Here is a 17799-nt window from a genome sequence, read left to right as displayed (position 1 = left end):
TCAAGAAATCTTCCTAATGATCATATGAACTGTGTATAATATATTCAGTCTTAAGAATAAAACAATAGATAATAGACCCTGCAAATTCTCCCTTTTTTATGTTCAGCTACCAGTCTTTTAGATGACCTCCATATGGTAAAGACTGCAGGAGCTCCTCTTAAGCCACCCAAATGCCTACCCTTATCCTGAGATGGTTCAACATTAATTTGAACACCTCATCAGACACACAGTTCCTTAACTATCTTAGCTATAGGAACCATTACAACTTCTGTCACCTACTCACAGAATTATACCCTTAATATTTTCAACCAGCTTGGTGTCAGAAATTCCTTGCCTTGCTAATCACAGAGACCCAGCCATGTCTCTTAAACATGAAGGGGTTTATTTATAAGTGTGCAGAAGTAGGCATTCCAGGGATAGTTTGACACTTCCACAAAGTCATCCAGGCATGTGGCTTCCATTGTCAAGGTTCCAGTGTGACTCAAGATGGATTTTGCCACTCTGGCCATCACATCCTCATTCCAGGCAACAGGAAGGAGGAGGCAAGAGAAGGTAACAGGATACGCCCCTGCTGATTACACTTCCACTAAGGAGCTTTCTGGAAGTCCTACCCACCAACTTCCACATGACCACACTTGGCGGTGAGGAATTCCGGAATTATCATCTTTTCTTAAGCTTGTTGCCACACTAAATAGAATTACTTTCTGTTACTAAAAACAAGGGAATAAATATAAAGCAGATTTTTCTCCAGTCTCATTTGCCAGCCCAAAATTATACCATTCTTTTTCTAGACTTTTGTTAGTTTTATTGCTTTAACTGACATCTCCTTCTCTGCTGTACTGCCTGGCCTCTTACCCATAAGTAAATTTTTGTAAAAAAAAAAAAAAAAAAGAAGACCTCTGTTTAATTGAAATTGCCTCCTCCATCATTTTCTGACCATCTCATCTCATAGCCGGGTGAGGGACCCCTTCTCTGTGCTATCATCACTTGTTGTACATTGCACTGCACTGAGCTCTTTTGGTGTCACTTTCTCCCTCAAATTACACCTGTAAAAATCTCTTGCTCATGGTGGGCGGAACTTCAGGGTCTAGCTGACTGCCTAGCACACGGTGGGAAATTGTTAGGTTGTTTGCTGAACTGACTGTAAAGTGTCATAGTCAATATTCAAGTGTAAATAGCAGGGCTTTAGGTGAGTACTGTTTTAGTCCCTGTCTCTTTATTTCTCACAGCTGCTGCAAGGGAAACTCTTAAGGGCTTTTGTATCTTATCTGCACCTCTTTTTTTAAGGGCCTGGGCAGAGTGGTGTCAGAGAACAACTTCGTCTCTCTGGCTTGGGCAGCCCCATTTGTAACAATAATACAGTAGAGTTGTTTCAGGAATGTCTACTAAACTCCTTTATGAACTTGGTATATCCACAAAGAGTGTGTGTACAGCAGATTGCAGATTTAGCTAAAATAAACCTCTATAAATATTTAGCATTGAAGCTGATTGTTGCTTCACCACCACTGTATTATCTTTAGACTTTAATAATATACTTCAGGATTTAAAAGAAAGTACATGCTGTCTGAAATATATATATAAAGAGAGTTTTTCTTTGTTTTAAAGATAGGCAATATGCAATTAATTTTTAAAAGAAATGAGGCCATTATTCTTAGAAAAGTAATACAGTATTTCCAAACTATTTTCTTTCTGGAACAGAAATTTATGTTCATCTTGTTCTCTATTCAGAGAATTTTAATTACTAAGGTATCACAGGTATCTTGGGATAAAGACTTATCTGTATGAAGATCCCATTAATGGATTTCAAGAACTATGCTATGTTGAGATTCCTAAATAATTTTATTTCTACATAAAGTTACCCAGTTATATTTACATGATTCATGTGCCTTTTTCAATTTTGGGTAACATTATATTTATATGCATATTGCAACGGTGAAGAGAAGAAAGGTTAATATAATACGTAAAATATCCTTATTGTGTTCATATTATGTGCCAACCATTAAGATAAGCAAAATGCTATGACATAGATATAATATTCCATGTTACAGAAGAGGGAAGTGAGGCTTAGAGAGCTTAAGTAGCTTGTCCAAATTCCAGGTAGTCATTACTACAATGACTATTAATAGGCAGCCCAAGACTGGAAATTAGCTTATCTTAAAAACCGTATTCTTCATTCCTAGATATGCAGCCATCAAGATGTTCTAAAGTATTATGTTCCGTATTGAATGAACTAATCTTTTAGAAAAATCATAAGAAAACTGGTATCAATTTCCCATTGAGTTCAATAACAACTTGTTGCTGCTACAGTATCTCTTGGGTCTACCGGACTCCCTCAGTACATGGTCCTCAGGATTCCTGTTCTGATGTTTCTTGCTGGGACCACACCAAGATGACTGGCATGGGGACACCCCACGCAGGAAATCATTTAGTGGTGCCACTAGGACCTCAACACCATTTTCCCTTCACTTATACCTTAGAAGCTATTTTCTTTGAAATATTTTTAAAACTTTGAAAGCCACCAGGAAGAGATATTTCATGTCCCTTGTAATACATTATAATAAGGGAAATTTCAATGTAGAGAGACTTACTGTCCACATTTTTACCTAAATTCCTTGTATTGTAGTTTCTTTTTATCGTAGGAAATCAAAACAGCATTTTCAATATGAGTCTTTCATATCCTTGAAGATGGCTATTTTTGATACCATAATTTTTCAGGGAGATACGTCTAGGCCAATGATGACTCACAGTAGGTCACATGGCAAGTTTATATCAAGATTGGTGTTTAGGCTGTGTGAATTATTGCTTTGAAGGACCTATGGGGCCTCTCAGTCATGCTGCCTTCATCTCATGGATGTTGTGGGGTTTAAAAAAATGCTTGATTTCAGTATTTCTAGGTATTATAATAAAACATATTCTTAAAATCATGAAGGAAATAGAGTCTTAAGGGTAAAGGTCATTCATTAAAATAGAGTTATGGATCTTTCCTTTTGCTCCATAAAAAAGCTGTTATTCTTTGATTTCTTTATTTTTACTCTAATGGAGGCAGTTATATGTTCTAAGAACATGGTATCATTTTCAGTTTGACCAAAACCATGCTGATGCTGAAGTAAAAACCTGCTTATCCTGAGAAACATCAAGGCTCTGGCTCTCTCTTTCTTCACTTCCTGCTTGAGACTTCATCTCTATACACTGTGTCAACCATAATTCATTAGAGGGAAAGCCGTCTCCTGCGGGGTCCTAGATTCATATCTTTCTAGGCAGGCTTCAGTTTCCTAGCTTCTGAGGAATATTTAATTGTGCTACTTGTAAAATTATATTCTTTACCTTCAGTTTTTGTCTCTCCTTTAGTTCTGCTTTCAATTGTAAATTACATTTCTTTATCACACATTTGGATATTTTTCAGACAAATCATATTTCTTGTGTGTATTTTCTATTTGGTGTACCTCTCCATTATGGAAGCTCTGTAGTGTGGATGTTACCCTTTCTTGTAACCTCAGTTCTTTTCTAGAGCATTTTAAAATATGAATATTAAAAGGCCAATACCATGCTTCTAACGCAACACTAGGCGACGTATGTAAGGGGCAGGGGGCGGGGTAGATGTTGCTTGGTGGGAAAGTGGAGGGTAATAATTGGTACAAAACAAATTAGTACACCAGGTTCCATGATGTCATATCCTTGCAAAATGAAAGCAAACATTCACCTAAAGAAAAAATTGACGAGTCTTTTTATGAATATTGTATATTCTTAAGTGTAAATGTTCTCTGAAATAATAATTGTCTGGAATCAAATCAGAAAAAAATATATATATGTATATATACACACACACATACATACATCATTTAGTTTCCTATGTCATTATGTGTTCAAGATTATAAATGGAAATAATAGGAAACAGAAGTGGGAACAATTTCCCAAATACATTTTCATCACCAAATGCTATTTATTTATACTGTAATGACATATCAGACAGATGGATTATTAAGGTTTTTCCTGTCTTTTATAAATCTCTGATTTACAGTGATTATGATGGTGCTGATTGCTTGTGGCCTTGATACTAGATTCTAACAGATGAATAGGGTAGACAACTGATCTGAGATTTGTTGTCTAGAAAACCTGAAGCAGGAGGAAAGGGCAAGAGGGTCTGGGGACTGGCAATGAGACCGGAAGCCTTTCACCCCGGGGTCAGCAGTTGGGCCAGGCTAAGCTGTGAGTGATATAAACCACTCATCTAAGGACCAGCTGTGATCATGACAGAAAACTGACAGTGATCTGATGTTCTTCACTGGTACTTTCTCTCTCTCTCTTTTTTTTTTTTTTCTTACTGAGATGGAGTCTCACTCTGTCACCCAGGTTGGAGTGCAGTGGCGTGATCTTGGCTCACTGCAACCTCCACCTCCCGGGTTCAAGCGATTCCCCTGCCTCAGCCTCCTAAGTAGCTGGGATTACAGACGTGAGCCACTGTCCAGCTAATTTTTTTGTATTTTTAGTACAGTCGGGGTTTCACCGTGTTGGCCAGGCTAGTCTCGAACTCCTGAACTCAAGTGATCCACCCGCCTCAGCCGCCCAAAGTGTTGGGATTACATGCGTGAGCCACCGTGCCTGGCCCTTCACTGGTACTTTCAAAATGCAAAATACTTTTCTGCTTCAGCAAAAAGTGGTAGACATTTGGAGATGCTTGTTAAGCTTTAGTACCACTCTTGAGGCCCACTGAGTGCCTGGTGATCCAGTCTTGCAGCACTGGACTTGACCCAAGTCTCAAATATTCTGGAGTTTTCATGCCAGACACAGACTGGATCGTAATCCAAAAACTCAGCACATCAGTGGGGCAGTTCTAGAGGCTTTCCCAGGACTAGTGTCAATCTGCATTACACTGAATTCCATTTAAGTCAAACCTTTTTCATTACCTTATGAATCATATCTATATGTTTCATTTCATACACACACACACACACACATATATACATACATCTTTCTTGGATGCTGCTGTAGGTTGCTCTTTCAGCTACTCCTTCTATTCGGTGAATGAATGTACTCCAGTCAAATGTTCACTGTGCCAGTGTAAGTTAAAATGAACATTTTACTGGAATGTGGTGTGCCTGACTGCTTTGGATCTATTACATATATTTGGCTTTGTAGAGGCAACAGAGTGAAGGGACTAAAATTAACATGTGTTTTCAGACATGTAAGCAGTCTCCCATGTCATTGCCAAAAAAATGACATTCCACCTAGAATATAGTCTTTAACATGCGGGACAGTTTATCACCAAGAAATATATGACTCAATGGCTGAATTTTAAATTTTTTTAAATACTGAATTATGTTTCTACTCCCCACTGGCAGAGCATGAGTTGAGTTTTCCACATCTGTCCCATTAGGAGCCATTGCCAATGCTGTGGCTGCTGCATGCTAAGTGTCTGTTCCTTTTCTTGCAATACTAGGCTCAAAGCCCCAGAGGCTTCTATCACTCTCCATCCCACCCCCATTTGTGTCTTCAAGTGCCCAGTGTATCTTCTTTCATCCCTGCCTGGAGAGAGGCCCTTTGGAGATTGTTTGTGGACATTCTTTGAGGGGAGAGAAATGTGTACTCACTGAATTCTCTCTGAGCATTCAGGCTTAGTTTCTTTATGTACAAAATAAGAATTATGTTAATCGAATCTTCTTCTGGGTGTGTTATTTATGTTGACTTGACATAGAGGATACCTGGCTATTAGTAGAAAAACAACTGCAACTGCAATTGTAAAAGGAGAGAGAACAAAGTACTGGGAGATTGTGCTGGCAGTTCTTTTCTTACAGGTTAACATTCTCTGAAGGCACCAGTGTGTCTAAACCAAATAACCAATGTAAAGAATTACAGCAAAACAAAATCATCTAAGCATGCAAAGGAATGATTCAGCACTGAGATCCGTGAGTCCATGAGGCTCTCTATGTCTTTGGATATAATTAAAACAAGGAAATTACCTCAATTCAGCCTTGTTTTACCTAATATATTCTGAGAATGGGTTGGATGATTTCTTAGTAACCTAGACAGCTTATAAGTAGCTCTCTCTGTAAAAATATTTTTTCTTAAAATAACAAAATATCATCCTCTTGAGGGAGAAAGCATTTTGTTTGGCCTGAGGCAAAACTTGGCACTTCAGTCCAAAGCACTGCCCTTCTCCCTCCCTAGCCCAACCCTCCATCCCTGCCCCTGTAGCACTCTACCTTGTGCCCACTCGGGTGAGCAGCCACTCTTCGCAGTGGGGCAGTGTGTGATGGGAAAGGGCTAGCTAGAGGTCTTGACAGTACTTTTCCTTGGTAACTAAGCTTGTTCTGCCAGTGGGATGCTAGACTGTGACTATTTAGATACGAGATGAGAGATCAGGGCATAGGAAGAAGGGGAGATTGTGTTAGCAGAATTCTTCTTATCTAGTACGTTGCCCTGTGACAGCTGGGTGGATTTACAGGCTGACACATACAGTGTGTCTCCTAGATAGTATCTAAATGGACCATTACAATGAGCTGTGATTCCTGAATTCAGATGATGCTGTTTAATATAGAAACGGAGTTGGCATTTTCTTGTTCTTAACATGAGCTTTCTGGTTTGCACCAAATGGAGGGGTTACCCAGGGTGTAGGATTTTCAGGGCTAAAACCAGGCTAGTCCTGGGCAAAAAGGGATGGTTCATCACTCTTTCCATGGTTTTTGAAATAAGTTAATGGGTGTTCTTTCTCAAGGAACACACTGAACTGAAAACAGCCAAAAGCTAGTAGGTAAAAAGTCACCAAGGCCTATTAGGAAAAAAAGTGAAATGTGATCTGTTTCTGGTTACTACTGATGACAGTAGGGTCATTTTATTTTGGAGGTAGGAGTGGTGTTTTGCAGAGGTGTGAAGTATATATCTGCCTGATGAAGTCTGTGTAGCATCATCAGATATTACAAAAGTTTTCACAAACACCCATTTGTGAAAGAAGATTGAACTCAAATTTGCTTACAGAAAAAAAAAAAACAACTGTATATCAGATGAAAAGTGTAAATAGTAAAGATGCTAATTTTCTAAGTAAAAAAAAAAAACTTCTGCAGTTACCTTTGGAATTTTAAAATGTTAATGGTGTTCAAGTTTAGAATAAACATTTCTCGTTTATTACAGTAATACTGTTGTCATCTTTTTCTTTGTTTTAATCTTTTAGGCTGAATGACTTTTTGTCAGAATATTTTATGACTTTTGAGCAAACTAAAATCTAGCAAGATCTCTGCCAGGACAACTATAGAATCCTCACCTGTGCAAATAAGCTGTTTTTTCAGCATTTTTAAGTTTGACTGGGGCAGGTTTATGCTACTACCTCCTTGCATCTGTGCGGTGTTGACTCAGAGATGTAATTTATATTGATATGATTTCCTCTGACTTCTGCCCGCTCCTTGATGGTTTTGTTTCACCTGTTGACATAAACTTGGCTGAAATGAATGCTCTGTTAGTCATGGGTGAATTAGCTGCATGTGTGATAGCACCTTTCTGCTGTGTTCTTATTATTTTCAAAATTGTGTAATGGGATAAGTATGTTTTTTTTAGAATTAGATATCCCTTTTCTAAGGCTTTACATGTACATAATTCCTTTCTCCTGCACACCTCTGAATAAACTTTATGGTTTTATTCAAAGATGGATTACACTTGCCACCATCACATATGTCAGAAAGCATGCTTGTTATTTTTGGAAGTGACCAAATTGAATTAGTTCAGTTCTATGTGGACTGGCTGGATCTGCTTCTTAAATGTAAGAGTCTGTGACTATGTTGAATTCTCATTTCACTTCATTCTCTGTACTCCTATATTATCTGCCTAAATCGACAAGGATACTTTGTATTTGCTGCATACCATACTTCAAATTGTGTAGTAACAAAAGCTGAAGGTGATGGACAAGTGCACCTCAACTTGATCTACTCCACCCGCCAGGATTTTCTTTACTAATCCATTGTACTCTTCTTGAGGATAAGGACCCCATTTTAAACCTTTTTGTGTTTCCCTTGGTTTCTAACACAGTGTCTTGCCTAATACCGCATGGAGACTTTTGCTGATGAAATTACTCTCAATGACATCATCTAATCATGGGAATTATCTTGATTGCTGTCAGATCCTTTGTAAATAGAGCTTGGAACACTTAAATTAATTGGTATGTAAGCTTACAGTACTGGTTCAAATATAGGAAAAGACCTTTTTAGAGGAAGTATTTAATATTTTTCTTCCTAAATTTACCTTTGGTGATGGATTACTGGGTCTGAGACTATACACTTGTCAGGAATGTTCCATTGGTAAAGGAAACTCCCAGCAACATGCAAAAAAAAAAAAAAAAAAAAAAAAAAAATTCAAGCTATCTTAAATTTGTAAGACTTACTTTGATTTTCATTAGCAATTTTTTAAGATAAAACAACGAGGATGATACATGACAAGAGAAAAAGACAGTTACATCAGAAACCTGCTCTCCCAACTCTGACAATTTATTATTCTCTTAGTTGACTTCCATTCTGAATGTTATTTGAAACTCAACATTTTTGCCTTGGACACTATATATATCAGTCGGCATAAGTGTGTGTATATATATGTTTTTATATTTTCTGTATATCTTCTATATTTTTTATCATATTTACTTCCCTTATATTTCTTTCTCTTTCATTTGTACTTCCTTATATTTTCTTTACAATTTGCATTGATTTTTCGAAGTTTGCATCATAATTTTTTAAGATGGTGAGCATAACTTTTTTCTTGTAACAAAATTTTCCTTTTCATATGATTATTCTTCTTTTGTAAGATTAAAATAAAATCTAAACACTTAGTCATTATGCAGGGAAAGAAGTAATTTCCCATTAGATACTTTAAATAATAACACTCTTTCACTTAACCAGCATTCCTTTTCTTTCAAGGATTACAAAGGACATTCTTTACAATGCACAAGTACGTTGTTCTCAGAATTCTTATCAGCAGATTTTTTTCGGCTTCCTTTGTAACTCTTGTTATGTGTGTAAGAAAAATGTTGCTGTGTAAAAGAACTCATTCCCATTTTTAGAGTCAGGATTCTTAGACTGTGTTGTGTATTTTCATTTTTAATAGCCAGTCACTGACTTTGAATTTTTCGTTCATTGTCAGTGCTATGCTTCAATGTAAGCTGGAAGTATTCTGTGTCACTAGGATAGGGCCATTAGAATATGGTGTAATGATTGGGAAGATGTAGGCAGTAGGATGATTTTTATCCCAAACTAACCAAAAGCCCAACTGAAAGGGCCTTAAAAGATGAGGATTTATATTAAGTCACATGACAAGAATTTCAGAGGAAGGGCCATCCATGGTTGGTTAATAGCTCAACAGGGTCGTTAGTGGCCCCAGCTTTTCTCATGTCTCCTGCTGTCCTCAGCCAGCTCCTCGCGTGCTCAGCACATGGCTGCAGCAGCTCCAGCAGCCTCTCCTTATGTGGTCTGTATCAACAGGCAGAAGAGGCCTTTTCCAGAATCTCCCATAGACTTACCTTCTCTTCTCAGTAATCGCAGCCAGGTCGCATGCTCTAAGCTAAACCCATCACTGCACGGGAAGTGGAATTGCTGTCATTGGTTTAGCCCATCAGTCCCCAAATGCGTCTGCAAATCAGAATCACCAGGGAATATTTCAAAACTGCCAAAGCCCAGGCCATACCTCAGACCATGAAATCACAATCTCTGGGGGTAGGCATCAGCATTTTTTGAAGCTCTTCGGGTGATAACAATGTGTAGGAAGTGTGGAGCCAAGGCTTAGCCTGATCAAGGGTCACTCTTTTGGCTGGGCTGGGAAGGGTCCTCCTCCAGGGTGCTTAACCAAGCAGAAGGCAACACCCAAATAGAATCAGGGTTCTGCTAGCAGTGATATAGACTAGGGAAGAGGCTCAGGTAGGAAGCAGAGTCACCCAAGACACAGGCCTGGGATTACAAGTGCCTTATTTTTTGTTCTGCTCTCTCTGATTGTGTAACTGTCAGGGTCATGACTACGCTAAATGTCACGCCCAGGGTCAGGTTCTGATCCGTGCTGAGGTTCGAGGGAGTGGGTGGATGAGCAGAAAGAACACTCGGGGGATCGTAGGCAGGTGAAAGATGATTTTATTCAGCAGCAGCTCTCATCAACAGCTTTCTCACACTGTCCACCCTGTCTTGGCTGCTTAGTCCGGCAGCCCCCATACACATCTGCGTAGCCGGCTCTCCCTTGCCTTCAGGGGCAGTGGCTTAACTCTTTCTCTCTTTGGCCACAAGCAAGCCGAACGTGTCCTGGCTCCCCTCTGTCCCTCTGCAAAGACGGACAACTCTGTCTCTCTCTTTCTCTGGGCACCCGCGTGCCCACCATGTCAAGCCATGTTGAGCTGAGCCTGTCAACAGGGCAATTATACCTTTTACAGATAATAGTGGCTTAGAGCCAAGTGATGGCCTTCCCATGTTACGGCTACATGGCTGTGATAACAAGTGGAGTTCTACACCTGCGCTGTAGACTCGCTGAGTCACTCTGGATGTTTACCTCGACCTATCCTTTACCAAAGCACAGCCATTGCCTTACAATAACCTTGATCACGTTTTTAAACAAATGTTTCTTCATTGTAAAGTGAGAATAACCATAGCAAATTTGCAGCATTGCTTAACAACTTAATGGGAAAACAGTCTCTAAATTTCTTAGCACTTTGCCAGCCAGCAGAAAGTAGGCAGTTTGTGAACATAGGCAGCAGTGTCGGGGTGGTAGAGTATAATAGTAGTAGTAGAAAGAGTAGGAGTTCTTACTGATGCTGTTTTTGTCATTGTTATTATCATTACAATGCTTATGGTAGAGGATGGTGAACTAGATCAGAAGTTCTCACTTCTGGTTGCGCATTAGAGGCACCTTGGGAGCTTTTAAAAAGCTAGTGCCTGTCCCTACCCAAACTAGTTAAATCAGGGTGAGGGTGGGCCCTAGGCATCAATGTTTTTAAAAAGATCCCTAGGTGGTTTAAATGTGCAGGCAGGGTTGAAGTCCACTGGACTAGAAATTAGGAGAATATTAGGGAAAAGTTTAGTTTCATCAGTTTTGTCTCACGATTCCAAATGGACTAGTTTGAGTCACCCTGCAGCCCCAGGAAAACAAGGCTTTTGAGCTGGTTTGGATGATTCTTTGCATGCTTTATGCCAGATAAGCTCTTTTAACACCTCTATGCAAGTGACAGGACTTTCTGGCTGCCCAGCCATTTCATTTATACACACTATTCTGTGGGCCTCAGAGTGGATTAATTAAAAGGGACCAGGTGCCTCCTTGTTTCTATTTAAAGACTGTATGCAACACTTTAATATAAAAATTGTATCCTATTCACTGTGCTTGTTTTTAGTGTTCTATGTGTTGCTTGTGCAATTCATTTTCCTAATTTATAGAAGTGTGTTTTTCATTAGCTACAATGCAAAACCAATTATGGATGTGTTATATAGAAACCTGCTTTAAATATTCTCCTAGCTTCCTAAGAGTTATAATTTTTAGATGCATTGTTTACTAGGCCATGGGTATGTTTTGTCATATGTTGAAAGATCACACTGGCTATAAAAATAAGACGGTGAATAAAAAGCCACAAAAGCTATAAACATCTGTAAAAGAAGTTTTCTAAGCAAGGCTGCTTGTTAGAGGGAAACTCAATGCATTTTGATTGTATGCAGCTGGTGGCACATGCACTTTCAGAAAGGGGCCCATTAAGAGGAACTGTTAGATATATGGCATGCCGTACTGTGGGCTGTAGCTCTGTTCCCTCAGCTGTGTGTAATAGAAACCCATGGGGCCACACTTGCAAACCCTCCTCTAAATTTCACCCACGATTCTGTTGCGAATTTGGTTTATAGAAGCAAGTAGTCATCTTTTGGTCTCAAAGCCCATCATGCTAAACGAAGATTACTAATCTTACCTGACTCCTAGAAAAGTGGAGGACTCCGAAAATCACAGCATGGGTTTCACAGCCTCTGCCATGGTGAGGAGCACACATCAGTCTGACCTCTGATCAGTGGTCAGGACCACCACAGGCCCCTGTCTGTAGCTCTCTTTTATTCTTGGAGGATCTGTTGTGGGATTGCCATATGAAGTACAGATGTTGGCCCAGTTATACACATACCCTATCATATAAGAGTACAAGAAGCCCTTTACTCCAGACACATGTGAACAGCTTGGCTATGCTGGGGTTGGGGAGAGAAGGGCCAGGTTTTGGGAATCTACTGCTCACCAGTCTGCGTTTTTGTGGCTCACAGTGAGGCCAGTCCCTGGAGCGCTGGGTTGTCTCAAAGCAGGCATACAAGACAGTTTCTGACTTCTGAGATGGTTCAATGTTTACATGATCCATCTTCCTGATATCAAAAATAGTTCCCCTAGATAGAGAAAGACAAAACCCCTGATGCAGAAGGATAATGGCGATATTTTTAAGTTTTAGAATAGCATGAAAGCAGCTTTTAGAAAAACAAATTTAACTTTTTAGGAGAAAAATGTGAAATCTACAGAAGCAGAGAATAGGATAATGAATCCCCAAGTAGCCCCAGCCCAGTTCAACAAGTATTAATTTTTTTTTCCATTTATAACTTCCTCACTACCCTAGCCATAAAACTTGAATTTTTATATGTAAAATTAAAATTATATCTAATTCAAGGTGTAAGTGTAATTATGACGTAGACATCTTTATATAAGGTCTATTGTAGAATTTGTTCATCTAGATTATGATAAAATTGAATTATGGGCATCCTAAGATCAAAGATATTTTCATTCTAGACCAGTGCTTTTCAAAAGTGTGGCTCGCAGACCAGTGGCAGCCCACAAACTCTTTATTTCTGGTCTATGATAAATAAAGAAACCGTGAAGAAGTGTTTAGAACTCTTACAGCATTTTGGCATTGCTGTGACATTCAAGTACATGATAATTTTTCTAGTAATTCGTTTTTAATATATTTTATAAAAGCATCACTCTGCAACAGACTGGGAAAAAGTCTTTAATTACAGATAGTTTGAGAAGCACTGTCTATAGTGTTTCTGTGGTTTGCCCCCCAGGGGACGTTTGGCAATGTCGGGAGATATTTTGGGTTGTCACAACTGGGTGGAAGATGGAGTGGGGAAGGGTGTACTACTGACATCTAGTGGGTGCACAGGACAGTCCTCACACCAAAGAATTATCTGGCCCTTTTGCTGAGATCCAGAAACCTTGCTCTGGACCAGAGTGGGGAGTTTAAGTACTCTGTGCCTTGTCTAAGGAAAGTTTGGCAAATAGTTTCTTAGTACAGGCTAGAAAGTAAGTCAACAACTGACTGTCTGTAATCTTCCTCACAGTTGAGGCTCCATATTCCACAGTGGAAATTAGTGAGACATTTTGCAGAAGAGAAAGTTTGAGGGTTAAGTGAACCTGCCCCACATCTTTTAAAAATATAACACAAGCCTTTTTTGTTTACAAGTCAGTGTCATCTATGCCACAGTTTGTAATGTGTCTGACAGATCAGCCACTATGGTAGCAGCTGAGAAGATGGGAAACTAGGAATTTATAAAATTTAGTTTATGTAGAAATTTCATATTTAAGAAATTCACACCAAATCTGTGCCTCATGGATTTTTTTAAATAAAACACTATTTTGCTTTCAGCTGAACCTTTGTTTTTAACATTTTTGTTAAGGCAAACTTCTCTAAAATCAATGATATACAATTAAAGGCATTAAAATGTTCCACTTTTGCAGAAAGGTCTAAGTGTAAATTGATGATGTGGTGTTCTCAAGGTCTCTCCTTAGTGAGAGTCCCTTATGAATTTTTTAGATTTTCTTTTAAATTTAGAAATAGGAAATAATTATCTGATGAAATATGTCATTTTTGTGAGTTTTAATAGAGTAAACATTAATGGCTATAAAATAATCTAATCTAGAAAAAGTAGCCAAACAAAATTAATTTGGAACAAAAGGTATGCGTACCCTTTAAGTCCTAAAATGTCTTTCTGTGTGTGTGAGAGAGAGACAAAGACTGTCTTCCACATCTGATTCCTCTTTGATAAGCTTCTCTAAATTTTATATGAAATCCAGGTTGGTCACATGGAAATTATTTCATTAAGTGCATACACTGTGGCTTTATTACAGCTTTGAGCAAGACAAATAGAGAAAAGGTGTATCCCTAGTGCATTCACAGAAGATATAACCACAGAGGAGCTAGTGTTTCACTCGCAAGTTGAACCTTCTCCTAAGCAAACTCATGATTATATATGTTCAGAAGACCACAGGCTCTGACAGTCCTCGCCATGCTCACTAGTCTTCCTGTTTTCTTTCATTGCCTACAAGTTTCCCTTTCTCAATTTCAGTAGAGTCAGCTATCACGGTCATGAAAGAGAACTATTAAGCATCATTCTATGATTTTGTGACACCTTTACCTTGGCCTCTGACTATAAGAGAAAGAGCTCACTGATTTTATTTTCCATTTTATTTGATTGTGGTCTAATGTAAACCATAGACAGCAACCACAGGAAATCTTTGGATTATGTACCTACTGTATGTGGATCATCCACCTGTGATCCATTCTGGGATGGATCCATCCAGGGATCCGAGGTTGACCCATCCTTATCCTTGGTAGCCTGTCTGATGGGGTCATACCTCTAATCTTTTAGTCAGGAATTCTTAGCTCAACTAAAAGAAAGCTTCTAATCAATTTCTATTTCTAAAGACTTCATGTTCAGAGTCCTCCAAAGTATATCTAAAATTTAACTTTGTTTCTGTAGAACCCTCTCAGATGATGTTGAGATTTATTAATTCAGTTTATCTTATCAAAAAAATGTAACATTTGAAGATACTGTTCTTTTATATAGGTGGGCATTAACTACACAAAATACGACTTTTTATTACCTAGATTACAAGGTGCAGCACATAGAGCTGTGTAAATCCTACCTTTTGAATGAAATCTGCCAAGTATTGTTTGATTAAAGCTAGACTGATGAGACTCCTGATTAATTCTGCCTCTAATAGATTACACAGTTTAACTGACAAATACATTGCCTCCATTTAGTAATGATTCCCAAGTTGTGATGACAAAGGACAAGCTATTTGTCAGTTAAACTATGTAATCATTCAGAAACAGAATTAATCAAGAACCTAATCATTCTTTCTCTACTGAAATTCAGCTAATGAGTTAAAGTGTATAATTTATACTACATATTCCACTCAGGAAGGCTCTAGAGGCAATGAAGTTTTTTTTTTTTTTTTTCACAATGTTCAAAGAAAGGAGCAGGAACAGAAGTCAGTGCCTCTCCAATCTTATCCCCTGTACCACTCAGCCTGTTCTTCTAACTGTGTTGACCATGTTCTGATTGGTATTTCTTTGGCATGGCTTATTAGGGGTAATGAAAAGAAATTAGTAAGGGAGGGTCTATGTGAGGGTTTACTCTCTGAGAAAGAAAATGCGTTTATTTTCTTCTATTTTGGTTTATTTGGTTCTCTTAACTTTAGAGGTGAGTGGCCTATGACCTCTTGGCTCTGCCTCTAGTATAAGAGCCATTTACTAGAGCAAGAATTCTCTAAGACTTGCTTTGATGACATTCACTATAAATTGGAATCCTTTTCCATGGTAGGCATTAGAAGTTCCTTCAAGGAGCACTATAGACAGTCTGACTAGTATCTGCCATGAATTATATATCTTCTTGTGATATCTTCAGGAATAGTGCAGGCTCTGTGTAAGATCTGGGATGAAGAAGAGAGGCATTTGAAGGACAAACACAGCTGCCTGTTGATATACTTAGTTATGACAGAGAGCCTTTCTTGCCAGACTAACATAGAAGTATGCTCGTGGGGCCTTCATGTGCTTCTCTTAGGGCAAAACCCCAAAGACTCCCTGGCTTTAAATGGTTCTAGGTAGAGAAGAGGGAGTCCAGGCAGATTGAAAACTACTTAATCAAATGGATTTCTCTTCAAACTTCTTTAATTGGAAGAACCTTTCTAACACTACACATTTTATCCTTTACTTTTCTGCCAACATGCATATATAAATACATGGTTGTTGTACTTGTAGTATATTGTGAAGGAGAAAATAAGGAAAGGTAATATAATTTCAACGACATTTGTAAGTGAAGTATATTAAATTAATCAGCAATAGCATGTATAAACATGTGAAAAATATCAGTATGTGAGTGGATAATGTGTGTGTGTAAGTATATAAGACATTATTCAGCTAAAGCAATGATTAATACGTGTTTGCATTTTTAAACCTCTTGTGATAACTGCAAAGCCCTCATGCCTCACCAGAATCTCAGTATACTAGCAGGGAGTCAGTCTTTTAAGCATCTGTATGAGCAATGTCTAGGATACTCACCCAGATAGTGTCTCCTAAGAGGAAATTTGGGAAGGAGTAAAAGGGTTGTTCTTAATCTTTGGTGCCCAGGTCTTGATTTTCATTGCCTTTTCTTCCCTGATACCTCTTCTTGCTCTTAGGGTGGCATTTTGACAGTTCTGTCTTAGGATGTTCTCTGCAAAACCCTCACCTGTCATTGGCAGCTGCCATGGTGCCATGCCCATCATGTCTTCACAACTTCTGGTCTTACAAGTAAAGTGTAGGGATTAAGCTTTTTGTTTCTTCTCATATACTTCATAATAATGTCTTTGTATGTTTTTTTAAAATAAAAGTTTAAGTAGAATATTTGGATATAATACAAGCCTTAATAAGAAATCCCAGCAACTTCAAACAAATTCTGATCCAAATACTTAAAACTACCTTTTCATTTTCAAGTTTTTGAAAAACTGTGGAATATTTGAAGAAATATTTGAAGTTGTGAAAAGACATTATGTTTATTCAGACTAGAGGGGAAAGCACATTATATTTTTTGGACTGCAAAGAAAATTGAACATTTTTCCTGATGACTGGGGAAGACTCATTAAACATATTTTTTTACATCTTTAAAATTACACACATAGTTACTTTCATTTCTGGCAACATGGTAGATACTCCATATCCCGGAAAAAAGGCCCTATAAGGAGCACTTATTAATGCTGGATAAAACAAAGCAAACAGAAAACATCTGAACTTGTAAAAAAAGTAATGATAGCCCTCAGGATTCAATGAACAAAAATGGAGCTGAAAGTGAGTGATAAGTTCAAGTTGAGGATGCAGCACCTGTAGGGTAATCTCAAGACTTGATTTTTCATGGTGTCAGGGAAAATGAGACAAACTGTATGTTCAGATTATAGGGCAAGATGGAATCCCATACCACTTTTATTCTTGGACTCTAGAAATGCTATGCTCAAAATAAAATTGGGGACTAGACATAATCTGCCTTTGGTAAAGGTTGGTACTTGAGACATTTAACTGTTTTGGAGTAATTGCTGGCTAGGGAAAGCTTTCTTCTTAGAGTTTATAACCGCAATCCTTCCCTCAAGTGTGGAGTTCAGACTTACAATATCTGCCTCACCAGAAAACCCTAAGGCAATAAATCAACTTAAAACAGTCTTTGATTGATAGCATCCCAGAGTGCCTGGCAGCAGCAAACACAAATGCTGTCTGGAGGGACTTACCCTCAACCTAGGGGTCACAGGATTTTAACAGATAAAGACCACCAAACGTGTCCTCACTATTTCAAATCCCAGACACCCAAGGAAACAAAAGCCACGAGCAGGAGACAGGAGAAACCACAAAAAAGAGAACTAGACTTCCAGACATCTTAAGATAATGCTTTATCAGATAAAGTAAATTATATAAATGCCTAGAATATTTTCAAATAGGCATAAACAACATGCGTTGCTTATGAGAAAAATGAGATTGTATCAAAAATGGAATTGGGAAATAAGCAAATAAAACTTCTAAAGGTTAAAAATATGATA

General features: G+C 38.3%; 1 protein-coding gene across 19 annotated transcripts in view, besides 1 other annotated feature; it reads left to right on the top strand.

Moving 5' to 3' along the window:
• PRDM5 (PR/SET domain 5) overlaps positions 1-17799 on the top strand; it is a 238436-nt gene that overhangs the window by 190468 nt on the left and 30169 nt on the right. Inside the window, exon 15 of one of the 19 annotated variants that reach the window (XM_047449556.1) lies at positions 469-641. The exons of the other annotated variants lie outside the window; for them this stretch is intronic. Coding sequence (XP_047305512.1) covers positions 469-480 — 12 coding nt within the window. The 3' untranslated portion in view covers positions 481-641. Of the gene's footprint in view, positions 1-468; positions 642-17799 lie in introns of those variants that run through there. 19 annotated transcript variants of the gene reach the window in all.
• Positions 11786-11835: an enhancer, noted in NCBI's record as "active region_21861". NCBI's record gives its function as "activates an Ori minimal core promoter by ATAC-STARR-seq in GM12878 lymphoblastoid cells {active_cell/tissue: GM12878}" and the evidence as "EXISTENCE:reporter gene assay evidence [ECO:0000049][PMID:35858748]".

Source organism: Homo sapiens, chromosome 4, assembly GCF_000001405.40.
Source record: "Homo sapiens chromosome 4, GRCh38.p14 Primary Assembly".
In the NCBI taxonomy this organism is placed as follows: domain Eukaryota; kingdom Metazoa; phylum Chordata; class Mammalia; order Primates; family Hominidae; genus Homo; species Homo sapiens.
This window is presented reverse-complemented; position numbering and strand designations above follow the sequence as displayed.